Here is a 14319-nt window from a genome sequence, read left to right as displayed (position 1 = left end):
GTCAGCTAAGGGTGTGAAGGAAAAGACTCCCCAGATCAGAGAGCGCTTGGCACTGGGGAGGGCTCAGACATACAATGAGGTGGAGAGGAGTAGGGATGCTAGTGTCGCTGAAGGAGCAGGTCATTATCCACTGTCACCCCTCACTCCATGTCTCACTGCCTTGGTTAAAGCACATTCAGTTTTATGTATCATTTTGATCTTCTCTATGCCCTTGTCAGGTAAGCAGCATAGATACTGTGGGCTTTATTTTTCAGAAATAGTTTAAGAAGGAAATAAGAAAATTGGCCCAAGTCACACAGCTAGCAGTTAACCAGCCTCACAGTTTAGATCTCTGGACTTCTATTTCACAGACCTAAAAATTCACGGTTGTCGCAAAAGACACATAGCTGAATTTCCCTATTTTACAAATAAAGAAACTGAGGACCACAGAGGTGAAGAAATTTTTCCAAGGTCACACAGAAGCAGAATTTAGGAGGTGAGCTGGAAGCGACTTTACCCAGCCTTATTTCTGATAGATGTTGTACATTATTTGAGGAAGCAGGGAGAAAAAATCCTCATATTGCCGAGAAAGAACAGTTACTTCAACAAAACCAAATATCTTCTAATGTTTAATAACTGTCAGGATAACATTCTGTTAGCATAACTGCATTTATAAAAATGGAAATTGTTATCAACCAAAAATTAGAAGTTTTTTAAGTGAAAAAAATTCTAGAAAGAAATCAAGCTGCTTGAGGAGATGGATCTATCTGGGAAGAAAGGCCTCCCCAGTCTACAGGAGCTCCTTGGAACTTTTTTCTGCCACTGATGAATTTTTAGGTCTTTGTTGATCAGAGAAAAAGTTGTATTTTTAACTTTTTTTAAAAAAAACTAAACATTGGCTCCAAACTGATAGACTCTCATCTCAGAATCTGTTAGCAAAGGATAACTAATGTTTGCAGACAAGAACACCATTCAGATGACACATTATTATAATTTATTTTACACTAGAAATGACATGGCTTGAGAAATGACTTGCTGAGAAATCTGTGTTTACATTAGGGAGATTGGGGGGAAAATCCCTCACAGAAGTTGAAAACATGCTAAGTGGTAAATACCAAAATGCCCAGCAAGCATTTAAGCCGGCTCTCATCCTAGCATGAATATGGGCAGCTCAGCATTTTAAAATTTACTTTTAGCTTTTCTAGCAGTTTGAATTAACCCTTTCTCTACTTCCACTTTCTCTGTGAGAGTTCAGCTCTTAATCTGCAGACGTGGACTGAGGGTGCTGTCACGGTGCTCGGTGATCCACTGGTGAATGATGTCCTCACCTGAAGCAGTTTCCTACAAGTGGGCTGCCTTGTGTACATGTCTCCTAAGCTTCCTTACTATCCATGTAAGGCCTAGACAAACATTAGGAAGCAAGTTCAGCTTGTATGGATTGGAAAAGGCCTGTCAGTAGAGCAAAACAATACAAATCAATGTCACAATAAAGGTATATCCAGACCAGAGGTTCTCCAGAGCAGAATCACCCCCAGAGAGACTGTGTCAGGTGGCCCCAGCATCTGTAGCTGTAAACGATCCTCAGGTGATTTTAAGTATATCCCTCATTCAAAGACACACTAATCTAGACTCTCTAAAAAGCCAATGACATTTTAATCTTCGTTTCAGCTCCTAGCAAATGAAAGCAAAAAACAAAACAAGCAACCAAAAAAAAAATTGTTCCAGGTTAGGTTTATCTTAATACTTAACTGGCTATGAAACTTATTTACAGCCTTAGTGAATACCAATTATATACAAGAAAGGTGAGCATTTAATGAATATTCGTATAATACTTTACAATATCTTATCATGCATTAATGATCTCATGTGGTTCTCACAGCAACCCTATGAGGTAGCTTGTTAGTTTCAAATTAAAGATGAGGAAAATAAGTCTCAGGGACATGAAGACTCGCTCAAGAGCCCTCAAAGAGTACAGCAGAGCAGCTGTGGGGTTGAGAAGCAGAGGGGTAAAATGACCATTGTTTTATTACTATAGGTCAAAAAGAAATTTTAATGTTTAAATATCTCCTATAGCTTTTTAGAAAACTTCTAATTACTATGCCACACTTTGCTGGTAAAACATATTATCTCACAGTAAAATATTGTGTTTTTTCTTTGTTTTACAACTATCTACACAAACACCCACACATACACACACACACACACACACACTCACACTCACTCTCTCTCTCTCTTTTGGAGTAAAACAGAAATAATCTATTGTTCCTGAGTTTGATTGTGGGAAAATCACTTAAGATAGGTCATGTTTATAACACCAGTTTCAGGGACAGGTAAATCCAGTAATTTAATTTTTATATATCTTACATTAAAATGAACACACAAATACATTTCTCCCTCAATCTCCATGTCAGACAAATGGAAGTGAAGTACTTGGCCTAGAAAAGAATAACCTGCAAGTGCCCTAATAATGTTGGTATTCCTAGTATTAATAAGTTAGATTTGTTTTTTTGCTATTTATAGTGATGTGTCTTTTTTTTTTTTTTTTTTTCCCCGAGACAGTGTCTGGCTCTGTCACCCAGGCTGGACTGCAGTGGCACAGTCTCAGCTCACTGCAACCTCTGCCTCCTGGGTTAAAGCCAACCTCCCACCTCAGCCTCCTGGGGAGCTGGGACTACAGGAACACACCACCATAAACAGGCAAATTTTTGTATTTTTTTGTACCGACAGGGTTTCACCATGTTGCCCAGGCTGGTCTCGAACTCCCAGGATCAAGTGATGCTCCCACCTTGGCCTCCCAAAGTGCTTGGATTACAGGTGTGAGCCACCATGCCTGGCCATGATGTATCCCTTTGAAGTGTTTCTTCTAAACATTCAGCCTATCAAACACCAGTTGCTGTAGACATTTGTGTCCAAGGGAAAAATAATCCATGTCACATCTTGGTGAGATGAAATATTCCATGGTATCAGTCCTATTAAAGCCAGGGCTGGCCAGGTAAACTCTTGGCATTCTTCGTGCCGCAATTCCTAAACTCAATAGAAGAATCTGAAGAACATAAAACAAAAGCCAAGAGAATAAAAGAAAAATAACTGAGCAGTAAAGACTTATTTAAGAATATCAGTACTAAAATAAAACTATCCATTCCTGTCACTGAGTGCATGCTACTTACAGCAAAGTAAAATATTTCCTGAATTGGTGGCCCCCAACCTTTTTGGCACCAGGCACCAGTTTCAGGGAAAACCATTTTCACAGACCGAATGGGAGATGGTTTCAGGATGAAACTGTTCCACCTCAGATCATCAGGCATTGGTTAGAATCTCATAAGGAGCGCGCAACCTAGGTCCCTCAGATGCGCAGTTCACAATAGGGTTCACATTCCTATGCAGATCCAATGCTGCAGCTGATCTGATAGGAGGAAGAGCTCAGGTGGTAATGCTCGCTTGCTTGCCCACCCAGCTGCCGCTCACCTCCTGCTGTGAGGCCTGGTTCCGGTCCATGGCCTGGGATTTGGGGATCCCTGTCCTAAATAACTTGGTAGGGGACTGATTGGAAAACTAAAAATTAAGTCAGGGTTTGCCCACTAAAGATGAAAGCAAATTTTGCATTTGGTGGGATGAGTCTAAATGCAATGGAGACATTGATCTTTGTAACGGCAAAACATTAAATCCAGGCTTTTCTTTTACCTTGTTAAGGGACATTTCGTTCATCCTGAGACGTTGCTTTGGCATAACTCAGAGGTAGATTCAGCCCAACAACTGGCCCTACAATGCTCAGCCATGATGTGATATAGTTGACATTCCTAGGAAACAAGTGAAATACAGGCCATGCTAACGTTTCCATTGTAGTTTTTGGATGAATGGTAGAACATCAGTTGGTCACCAACAATAACAAAAGTGAGGCTTTCTTCAAAGATTTGTACCTACCACCTGGAATCTCAGCATTTCTGAATGCCAGCCCCATTGCTTGACAAGAATTTAAGGTCCAGAGAGCCTGTAAGGATCCCTCATTAGGGTAGTTGAAGAATGAGGTAAGGTACTGGCTCCTGACTTCCCTTGATGATTCAAATTTTACCCTTACAGTTTACAGCACTTACTAAGGTAGCAGAGTGCAGTGATTAAGAGCATGGTTCTGAGGCCAAAATGCTTAGATTCAAATCCCACCACTTAACTAGCTGTGTGACCTTGTTTGAGTGGCTTAACTCCTCTGTTCTGTAACTTCCTCCTCTGTAAATTGGGCAAAATAATAGTACTTAGCACATAGGAATGCTGCAAAAATCCAATGTCTTACTGTATCTAAAACTCTTAGAACAGCATCTAGCATATCCTAAAAATCATTGTGTTAGCCATTATTATTATTAATATTTCTTTTTTAGCCTAGCATTTAGAGTCACATAAAAAGATTTACACTTTTAAAATCAGAGTAGAAGCCAATGTATCTTGATGGTGTTTCTTACTTATTGATTTTCTGAGAATTCTTTAATACAGGAGTCATGAATTCATTCGTCTTGCAGGGATGAAGTACAAAAAAGGGTTGCCCAAGTATTGGATGTTCCTGTAAGAATCAGAATTGGTCCAGGATCAGTGTGAGTTACTTTGAAAAGGCTAAAATAATTTATCTGGTTTACTCCTTTAAAATAAAGGTTTGTCTCAAATTCCAAGTTATTGAATTAATATACAGGTTTATTTTCTATTTTTAAAAACAATTTATAATCCAAACATCAGAAGAAGTTGGTGAGAAAGGACTATTCATTGATAAAGCAGTATGGTCGAGTATAGCAGGGCACCCATTTTTGTTTACACAATATAAACTGTAGTTGCATTTTATCAGTTCCCTCTCTGTTGGCCAGTGTTTCTCTTTGGCCTATCATTATTCTTCAGTTTTTCTTCAAGGATGTTCACAAAGCTCAGTAGTTTGACAACCTAAACAATTCATTTTATTCACCTCTTTGTCAATGGTAAGAGACTCAAAATCATTTGCATATTTCTTTACACAAATTTTGTCAACATGTTGTTTCAAGCCTACATGTATCCAGTGCCAGTGGGCACATGTTCCACGAGTAGAACCAGGGATGGGAGGAGATGGCCTGCACTATTTAAATTGTTCTACTTCTGTTTGTCTCTCTCTCTCTTTCCGTCTCTGAGTTTTTGTTTTTCTTTTTCCTCATTTCTCTCCTTCTGTCTCTCCCAAGCCTACAGGGCTGTTTTTATAAGTTAAAAGCCTGAAATGTAACTCTGTTTCTTTTATAAGGTAGTAATTGGATATAAGATATAGGTCAGACCATACCCAAGTTAGGGACGTGGACATCATTTGGCAAGCAATGGGGAGCCCTAGGAGGTTTCTATGTAGTGGGTAATCTGTGCACAAGTTCTACCAACAAAAACACTATTATTGATGATACATTTATTGATTATTTGTATTGTGGATTAACCATTATACCAACACTGCAAACTCAAATACCTATGAAGACAAAGCAGGTGACCTAAGGGGATAATGCCAGCTAAATACACCAGCAGATGACGGGGCCCGTGAGAAACTGCCGAGTGCACCCATCCAAGGCCATGCTGGCTACTCTGCTCCAGCCAACTGTCCCATGTGGGAATGCAGGTTCAGCATGCCAGACCTCCCTATTTGTGAAACTAACCTAGAAAAGCTGAAGTTTATGTTAAACCTCCTACATTTAAGTGTTGGCATAATTTATTTTTAAACATGGAGTGGGACAAGTAAAACAGGCTTGTAGGCTGGATTTAGACTAGGGGATGCCTAGTTTCTTCTCTTGGCTTCTTCTCTCAGCCAACCCAAGGGGAAGCTGAACTCAGAGCTGTTGATGGGATGAATTATGTGGCTGTCCTTGCTGCCTCTACCCCTCAGCTCCAAACATTCATGTCTGTATGCTTATGCACATATCCACTCACAAGAACTGGAAGGGACAATTCCTCTTGTATTGGTGACACTGGGTATGGAGATTTGGGGTGGTGGTGGTGAGGGATGAGTTATCCACTAGTGATAGGTTATTGCATGTATCTGGCATTTTTAGCACCACCTGGCATTTGTTTCTCCCTGAGTGCCATCTCCAGGTGACTCTGACCAGTCGCCTGATTCTTCCAGCAAGGCATCAGCTTCCTCTCTACAGCTCTCTTCCCAACCTTCATTCCCATCCCTAACTGGGCCCTGGGCTCAAAGCCCTGATGTGTTGGGCCTATGCCAAGTCCTCCTGTCCAACTTGAATCTGGTTTCCCTTACCTGCCTTAAACTAATATTTAGCAATTCAACATATATTAATCAATCATCTTTTTTATGTGTCTGCCAGAATACTTCTAGCTATAGTTATAGAGACCACTGCATCTCTTAGATAAACAATGTTCCTGATCCCATGGAACTTAGATTTCAGTGCAGGAGACAGCCAATAAACACACAGAACGAATAAATAAGATAATCCAGATAATTATAAGCCCTACAAAGGAAACACAACAGGGTAACATGATTCTGGAGGGATTGTGGTGACATTAGACTTGGAAAGGGAAGGCCTGAAGGAAGAGGTAATACAATGGACTGAATGTGTGTATCCCTCTTAGGGTTACACCCTAAGAGGTGTAACTCTCACTCTTTTCCTATCATGTGGGGATACAGTGAGAAGATGGCATCTATGAAATAGGAAACGGGTCCTCACCAGACACTGGATCTTCCAGTGCCCTCATCCTGGATCCTGTAGCCTTCAGAACTGGGAGAAATAAGTGTTGGTTCTTGAGCCACCCAGTCTATGGTATTTTTGTTATGACAGCCTAAATGGACTAAAATAAGGTGAAACTTAATCAAAGATCAGAACGACAAGGAAAAAAACAACCATGCAGAGATTTGGGAACAGAATGTGGGGGCAGATGACCCTATGGGGGAAATGAGCATAGAAAATATGCAGGAAAAATGCAAAAAAATTTAGAATTATCCTGGACTAAAACAATGACTGTTTAGAAAGCTGGGATTTAAAAAAGATAAATGTAGTCTAAATTCTTTTGGGATGACTTACATAGTTGCCAATGGAAGGAATAAAGAGGTATAATCCAATCTTATTGATGTAAAGTACATGTTGACTTTAATGAAATGAAACCTACAGTTACAAATTTCCACTAGACGGAAACACTCCTAATAGGGAGGATCAGTTCAATCACGCAGCCTCCACTCTCTCCAAGACTCACTTTCCCTTTGGCATCTCTTTCTTATCTAAGAGGTGGATAGGCACTTACAGTTCAGGGGACCATTTTCTTAGAGGAGTCTTAGGACCATGGCACACTGCAGCTCTGCTCATTTGATGCTGCTTTGTAAAGACATGGACTTTACTTCTATAAGTCATCTTTTTTTCATTCCACATAGCAAGTGGGTAAGCACATGCATGAGCTCTATGGTTAAGACTGTTTGAGATCAAGTCCTGCTCTACCACTTGGTAGCTGTGAGCTATTGGGAAAGTCACTTAACCATTTTACGTCTCTGTTTCCTCATCTGGTAACTGTGGCTAATGATAGTATCTGTCTCAGAGATTGACTGTGACCCTTCAATGAGATAATACCACAGAAGTACATAGAACAGTACCTGACACATAGCAGACACTTAGTTGGCTATTAGTATTTAACCCATTAATATCTAAACAGAAAAGAATAACAGCCAGACATTCAGAAAGTAGTCTTATGGTACCCTATAATAAAGCCAAATTTCAATCTAAAAATAGGACGTTCCTGTAAATTAAGTAGCATATTAAAAGCATCACTGACCAGTATCTAAGTGTTTAGGAATATTTGACAACTGTTTATAAGTGAAAGGAAGAAAGGTCTGAATTAGTAAAAGGTCTAGGTCTATATGGCAACTAGAACTATCACTATATTTGTATTCAGGTTTAAAACCAAATTAATGAAAAATAATTTAAATGAATTTAAATTAAAATAAAAGTTTAGGTACTTCAAAAACACTTCAGTAATCTACAACATTTTAATATTCATTTTTCCTCAAAGAACATAAAACAGTCATATTAGCATTTAAGGTTATGTTCTAATAGAATAAAATGCATGGCAATGTCATTTAAAACACTTTTTAAAATAATTGAGACTTTCATGCCTTTGAAGAGCTTTTAGAATAGCTTAAGCATTTCTTTAATGCAGGTTTGGCCATCTTTAAAAAATTCTTTATCCTTTACTATACTGAGACCTTATATTTATATAATTAAATAGAATATATTAAAATGAATGATGGTCTTTAAAAATTAAAAGTTTAAATTTATTAATAAATTGGATTTTAAAATAAAAATTATATTGTTTTGGCAAAATGCTTTTGGTTCAAAAGAATCAAGCCTATAATATGCTGATCAGCTTAAAATAGGAATTATAAGATATGTAATCTTTTAGAAGAATTTTATAAATTAATAACAACAGAAGTGGACTTCCAGCTGTGATAGAATAAAGAGGTCAGCAAATCCTCTCCCCAGAAATTAAATATAAAAATGAACAAAATTGTCAAAAACTAACCATTTTTGGGTCCTGGAAATCAACCAAGGGCAAATATAAAATCTGAGACGTGTTTAGTTCATGATAATCTGCTAAACTTCAAGTTAGAAACAGAGGGAATCTGAAGCCTTCTTGCCTGGAAGTACTTCCATATCCCCTCCTCCTCTTCCCCAATGTCCCCAGACACTCCATCAACAGAAGTTTTACCAGAGCAATCTGGCCATAAGAGCCAATAACTGTGTAGCCAGAGGGGCTGGCCTGATTTCCAACAGATAGCTAAAACTATTGCTCAGCAGCACTGTCAATAAAAATAGCAAAATAGGTACTAAATGAAAAGAAAAAAGCTGCAGCTCTGCTAGCCAGAGGTTGCAGTCCCAGTTGAGGCAAGCAGCAAACTACCAGTAATTTAATGGGGACATTCTGGAAATAAGACAGCCACAGAAGGGGTAGATAAGTTCTCCAGGCATCACTAGCTGATGGGAAGGGGATGTTCAGTGGAGTCACAAGAAGGCCTGATAGGAAGTAAGAGCTAAGGCCAATATGAATACTACTTGAGTTTTTAGCGTGTTCCCAATCCACGTACACATCCATTGGCAAAAGAAAAAAGCATTATAGGCTTGAGGTATTTGAGCATAATTTCTGTCCAATCATTGGCCAACCTGCAAGCTTTACAGACATAGCTGGATAACCCTGAGGAAGGCAGTCTAAAAAATAAAAATAAGAATTAAAAAACCAGTAGCAAAGACATCAGTGGCCACACTTACAGGGAAAAAAAATCTGCAGATAAAGCCTAGGAAAATTACTAAACCAAACAAAAACAACAGCAACAACAAGAAAAAGACAACCCTCAGGAAAAAATATTGGAATCCAGAATTGCTGCAATATATTATCTAAAATGTCTAGTTTTCAAAGGAATTTATGTGACATGCAAAGAAACCAAAAAGTGTGGTTCATACCAGGGGGAAAATTCATTATTAAAAACTGACTCTGAGTGTAGACTCACATGTTGGATTTACAAATAATTCAAAGCAGCTATTATAAATATGTTCAGTGAATTAAAGAAAACTAGAATTAAAACAGAAAAATTATGACAATGGCTCTGCAAATAGCTAATCTCAAGAGAGGAATACAAACTATAAAAAGAACTAAATAGAAATTCTAGAGTTGAAAAGTACAATACCAGAAATAAAAAATTCACTAGATGGACTCAATAGTAAATATGAGACAGCAGTAGAAAGAATTAGTGGATTTGAAAGTATATTAATAGAAAGTATTCAATGTGAAGAAAAGAGAAAAAAAATTGAAGAAAAATGAGCCTTAGACATCTGTGGGATAACATCAACTGTACCAGAATACAGATAATCGCAATCTGAAAAAGAGAAGGAGAGAAAAGGGCAGGCAAAATAGCTGAAGAAATATTGGCTAAAAATTTCAAACTTTGATGAAATACATTAATCTACAGATCCCAGAAGCTCAACAAACTCTAAGGAGAAATATAAAAAAACCCACACCTAGACACATCATAGTCCAATAGCTGACAGCCAAAGACAAGGAGAAAATCTTAAAAACAGCAAGAGAGTCCTTTAGGACTCATCACATAAAGAGGAATAACAATTCAAAAACAGCTGACTTCTTATCAGTCCAGATAGGAGCAGAATGACATATTCAGAGTAATGAGGGAAAAAACCTTAACTGTCAACCAAGAATTACTACATTCTTCAGAAATGAAAGTAATATAAATATATTCCCAGGGAAACAGACTGAGAGAATTCCTTGCTAGCAGATTTGCCTTATAAGATATACTAAAAAAAGTCCTTCAGGAAATAATACCAGAGTGTAACTCAAATCTACAGGGAAAAATGAAAAGTGTCATAAATGGTGAATAAAAAAGACTAAGTACTTTCTCTTTTCTTAATTTTTTAAAAAAGACATAAGATTATATAAGCAAAAATCATGAACACTCTAGTGTTGAGTTTATAACATAAATGTAACATACATGACAATAATGGTACAAAGGAAGGGGAAAGAAATGAAAGCATATTGAACAAAGTTGCTGTATTTTATTTTTTAAATAATTTTTTTTCTTTTTTTCTTTTTTTTTTTTTAAGAGATAAAGTCTCACTATGTTGCCAGACTAGTCTTGAACTCTGAACTCATCGATCCTTCCACCTTAATCTCCCAAAGTGCTGGGATTATAGGCATAAGCCCCCGTACCTGGCCCAAAGTTGCTATCTTTTAGCAGAATTAAGTCAGATTGGCCGAGCATGGTGGCTCACACCTGTAATCCCAGCACTTTGGGAGGCTGAGGTAGGCAGATCACTTGAGGCCAGGAGTTCAAGACCAGCCTGGCTAACATGGCAAAAACCTGTCTCTACTAAAAGTACAAAAATTAGCTGGGTGTGGTGGCAGGCGCCTGTAGTCCCAGATACTTGGGAGGCTGAGGCAGGAGAATCGCTTGAACCCAGAAGGCAGAGGTAGCAGTAAGTGGAGATTGTGCCACTGCACTCAGCCTGGGCAACAGAGTAAGACTCTGTTTCAAAAAAAAAAAAAAAAAAGGTCAGTATTAAGTTGTGCCTCTGTTGTTAGAATATTAGTAAGCATGTTTTTGAGAGCATGTGAAACCCAAAAGCTTTTTCTTGTTGTGAAGCAAATCCTTTAAGTATGTTGTTAATCATGAGCACTCTTCTAGCAATGTGTCAGAAGCATCCATAATTAATTTACACGGTTAAATTGTACATGCTTCAACACTCAATGCTTTCTAAAATGTATCAGTTTCTTTTAGTTGTGGCGAAATTAGCCAAATCATTAATTACTTTTCAAACACAAATGGAAAATTAATTTTTAGAATATTCTAAATAAATCCTTGTTTCTAAATATATAGGACTACTGAATATAAACCCTTGAGTTATGAAGAATGCAATAATGATCATATGATATAGAAAAATAACAAGTTTCCTTTATGTGACTAGAATTCATATATTATATCATTCACTCATTTATCAAACATTAAATCTTCTGATAATTTTAAATTGATTTAAGCCTAAATCAAGGCAATAGGTCTGTAAGTGAAAAATGTGGTTAATCTTGTGGAGATCTTAATGCCACAGAAATCACAGAATTCAAAGTTAGCATAGTAACCTGAGCCAATACTATTTTTTCAGTCACATTCAATCAGCTGATTCTGCAAGCCCAGCAATTTGTATTCACGGAAAGTAGAGTAGAGAATTTACAAGTAATTTGAGGCATGTTAACGGTGCAGACAATCAATGTGGATAATATTCTCCAAAAGCCATTATTTTCCAATGGAGATTTTGTAAGGCTTATGCTATCAAGAAAGATTATCTGTATTTTCTACCGTTTTTCCTTCAGACAGCCAGAATCAAAGATGAAAGCAGTCATTAGTTGGTTTAGGAATTATGTGTTAGAGTTTTTTAAAAAATCTAAACTCTACTCCTTATTTGTTTAACGTACCCTTTTCAGAGATGGAAGAACATCAAAACTATTGGGATCCTTTTAGTGACATTTCTTAGATCGATTCAGGAGGTAAATTCATGTGAAAGTGCTACCATCTGCTGTCAGTAGTAATGAACTGAGCAAATCTGCACTGAGAAAAATGTCCGTGTGGAAATGCACACAGGCAATGAACTGTGTTAGGCTTACAACTTAATAAACACTTCTACTGGAACAAAGTTCTGCTAAATGGTTTTCCATGAAAATAGAAATGATGGGTCAGATTTCTATCTCTGTAACTCCAGAGAAGTTATATAGGCATATTTCCTCATGAAATTTAATTTAGCAATGGTTAAATGTCTCATAAAATAAGTCTGACAAGAATACTGTGAATTGGTTTTAGAACTATTAGATATGACTATCACAAGGAAATGATAATACTGCACCTTCATTCTTACATGTAATAAATATGATGAGTTACTTGGTTCATTTCTTAATTTTCTTGGTTCTTTGGGAGGGCACAAATGTAATTTCACATATTAAGCTTTCATCCAGTTTCATATTCCAGACTGATCAAATTTGCCTTCCACGCTGGGCACATTCCTTAGAAATGGAGACAGGTATCTCCCTCATGCTAACCCCTCAAGCAGGGGAAGGAAAATGACTACCCAGCATCTGCAGTATCAGGCACCGTATTAAGCGCTTTACATGGCCACCTACCACAGTAACTCTTTGAGACAGGCTTTATTATTGCCACTTAAAAGAACAGGCTTAGAGAGATTATGCTTAAGGTCATCCATGTAGTGAGGGGCAGAGCACCTCCATATCTCCTAAGACCACACACTTACACTGCACCTCCTCATGCCCTCTGACCAGAACTGGTGTCTAAGATAGTTCCTGACTTCCAACCTCTAGTCTACTCCTTCAAAAATCTATTTATTGATTTTAAAATCATGTGTTTTCATAAAATTATAAGAGCAATACACACAGGGAGTTCAGACAATACCAAGAATAAAGAATAAAAGCGAGCTAATCCCAAACAGCCCAACTCAGATTTAATCACTGGTGAATTTCCTTTCAGACCTTTTTATACACACATTTATACTTTCAGTTGCTTGTTATTCACTGAACAGATATTTAATTGTTGGCCCTACTATGTGATAGTCCCTACCATATGTGTCTTTTGTTGATCCTCTTTAGGTATCTTTGTCCTCTGTTTTACTAATTTCTGCATTTACCTTTATTATTTGCTTCCATATATTTTTGTTTGGGCTTATTTTGTTTTTCTTAATTTTTTATATTTCCATAAGTACTTAAAAGGCTATACATAAAGTATATGTAATCTTCAGTGTTGGCTACACTGTTCTACATGTTTCATTAGATTAAGCTAGTTATTTGTGTTGTCCATATGTATATCCTGGTTTGCTTGACTTATTAATTTCTAAGAGAAATTTAAATCTCCCCTATAACAGTTGATTTGTCCATTATTGTTTGTCAATTGCAGTTTGTCAGTTTTTGCTTTATATATCCGGAAGCTGTGATATTTAAATGCATAGAAGTATATCTTCTTAGAGAACTGAAACTTTAATATGAAGTGATGGTGTTTATCACTAATATGCTTTCTGCCAAAAAAGGATTCTTACCTGATATTAATATAGCCACATCAGCTTTCTATTTATATTATTCATTTAAAAAAATTGTTTGACTTCTTGCTTTCTGCATCCTTATATTTAAGATATTTTCTATAAAAAGAACATAGACGGATTTTTAAATATCCACCTTTACAATCTGTCTCATAAGTGGGGTGTTTAGTTCACATACAGGCTTTGTGATTACTGATATAATTTGATTTCACTTTTTTTCCATCTTATTGTAGACATTTTACTCATTCTATTTTTAATGTTTCTTCCTTTCCTTTTCTTTTTTCCTCTTCTGTTTCCTTCTTTTGGATTGACTAAGCGTAGGATTAAAAATTTTTTCTCACTGCTTTTTCTCTTTTTATTAGCTTGAAAAATTACATACTATTAATACATTCCTAAACATTTAGTGGTTATTCTTAAATTTTAAAATAGCTATTTCACTTAATAAAATGTACAATTATTCTGTATCTTTATCTTTTTCCCAAACAATTCAAGTATCTTAATACTCTGATCACCCTTTACTGATTTATGTACTACTGTTGTCTAGTATTTCCGCTGTATCTATTTTTTAACCCCAGAAAGTAGGTATTATTAGTACTTTATAGCTCAATGTTTGTTAAAATTTACCCACATTTTACTATTCTTTTTGCTTACCATTTTTCCCTATGTGTCAGCATTCATTCTGGGATAATATTCTTTGTCACTGAAATATGTCCTTCTGAACACCTCTTGGTGAAGATCTGTAGGTAGTAAATTGTCCAATCCT

The 14319-nt window shown here is 36.9% G+C and overlaps 1 protein-coding gene across 14 annotated transcripts in view; it reads right to left on the bottom strand.

Moving 5' to 3' along the window:
* Positions 1 to 956: 956 nt before the first annotated feature.
* Positions 957 to 14319, bottom strand: part of ATG10 (autophagy related 10) — a 284111-nt gene continuing 270748 nt past the window's right edge. For all 14 annotated transcript variants that reach the window (XM_047417800.1, XM_047417803.1, NM_001131028.2 and 11 more), the window contains 3 exons: positions 4431 to 4528; positions 3661 to 3776; positions 957 to 3022 (listed from right to left, as the gene is read on the bottom strand). In XM_047417800.1, coding sequence (XP_047273756.1) covers positions 3665 to 3776; positions 4431 to 4528 — 210 coding nt within the window. In that variant the 3' untranslated portion in view covers positions 957 to 3022; positions 3661 to 3664. The remainder of the gene's footprint in view (positions 3023 to 3660; positions 3777 to 4430; positions 4529 to 14319) is intronic.

This window comes from Homo sapiens, chromosome 5, assembly GCF_000001405.40.
Source record: "Homo sapiens chromosome 5, GRCh38.p14 Primary Assembly".
Classification (NCBI taxonomy): Eukaryota; Metazoa; Chordata; class Mammalia; order Primates; family Hominidae; genus Homo; species Homo sapiens.
The sequence above is the reverse complement of the archived record's forward strand: the minus strand, read 5'-3'. Positions and strand labels throughout refer to the sequence as shown.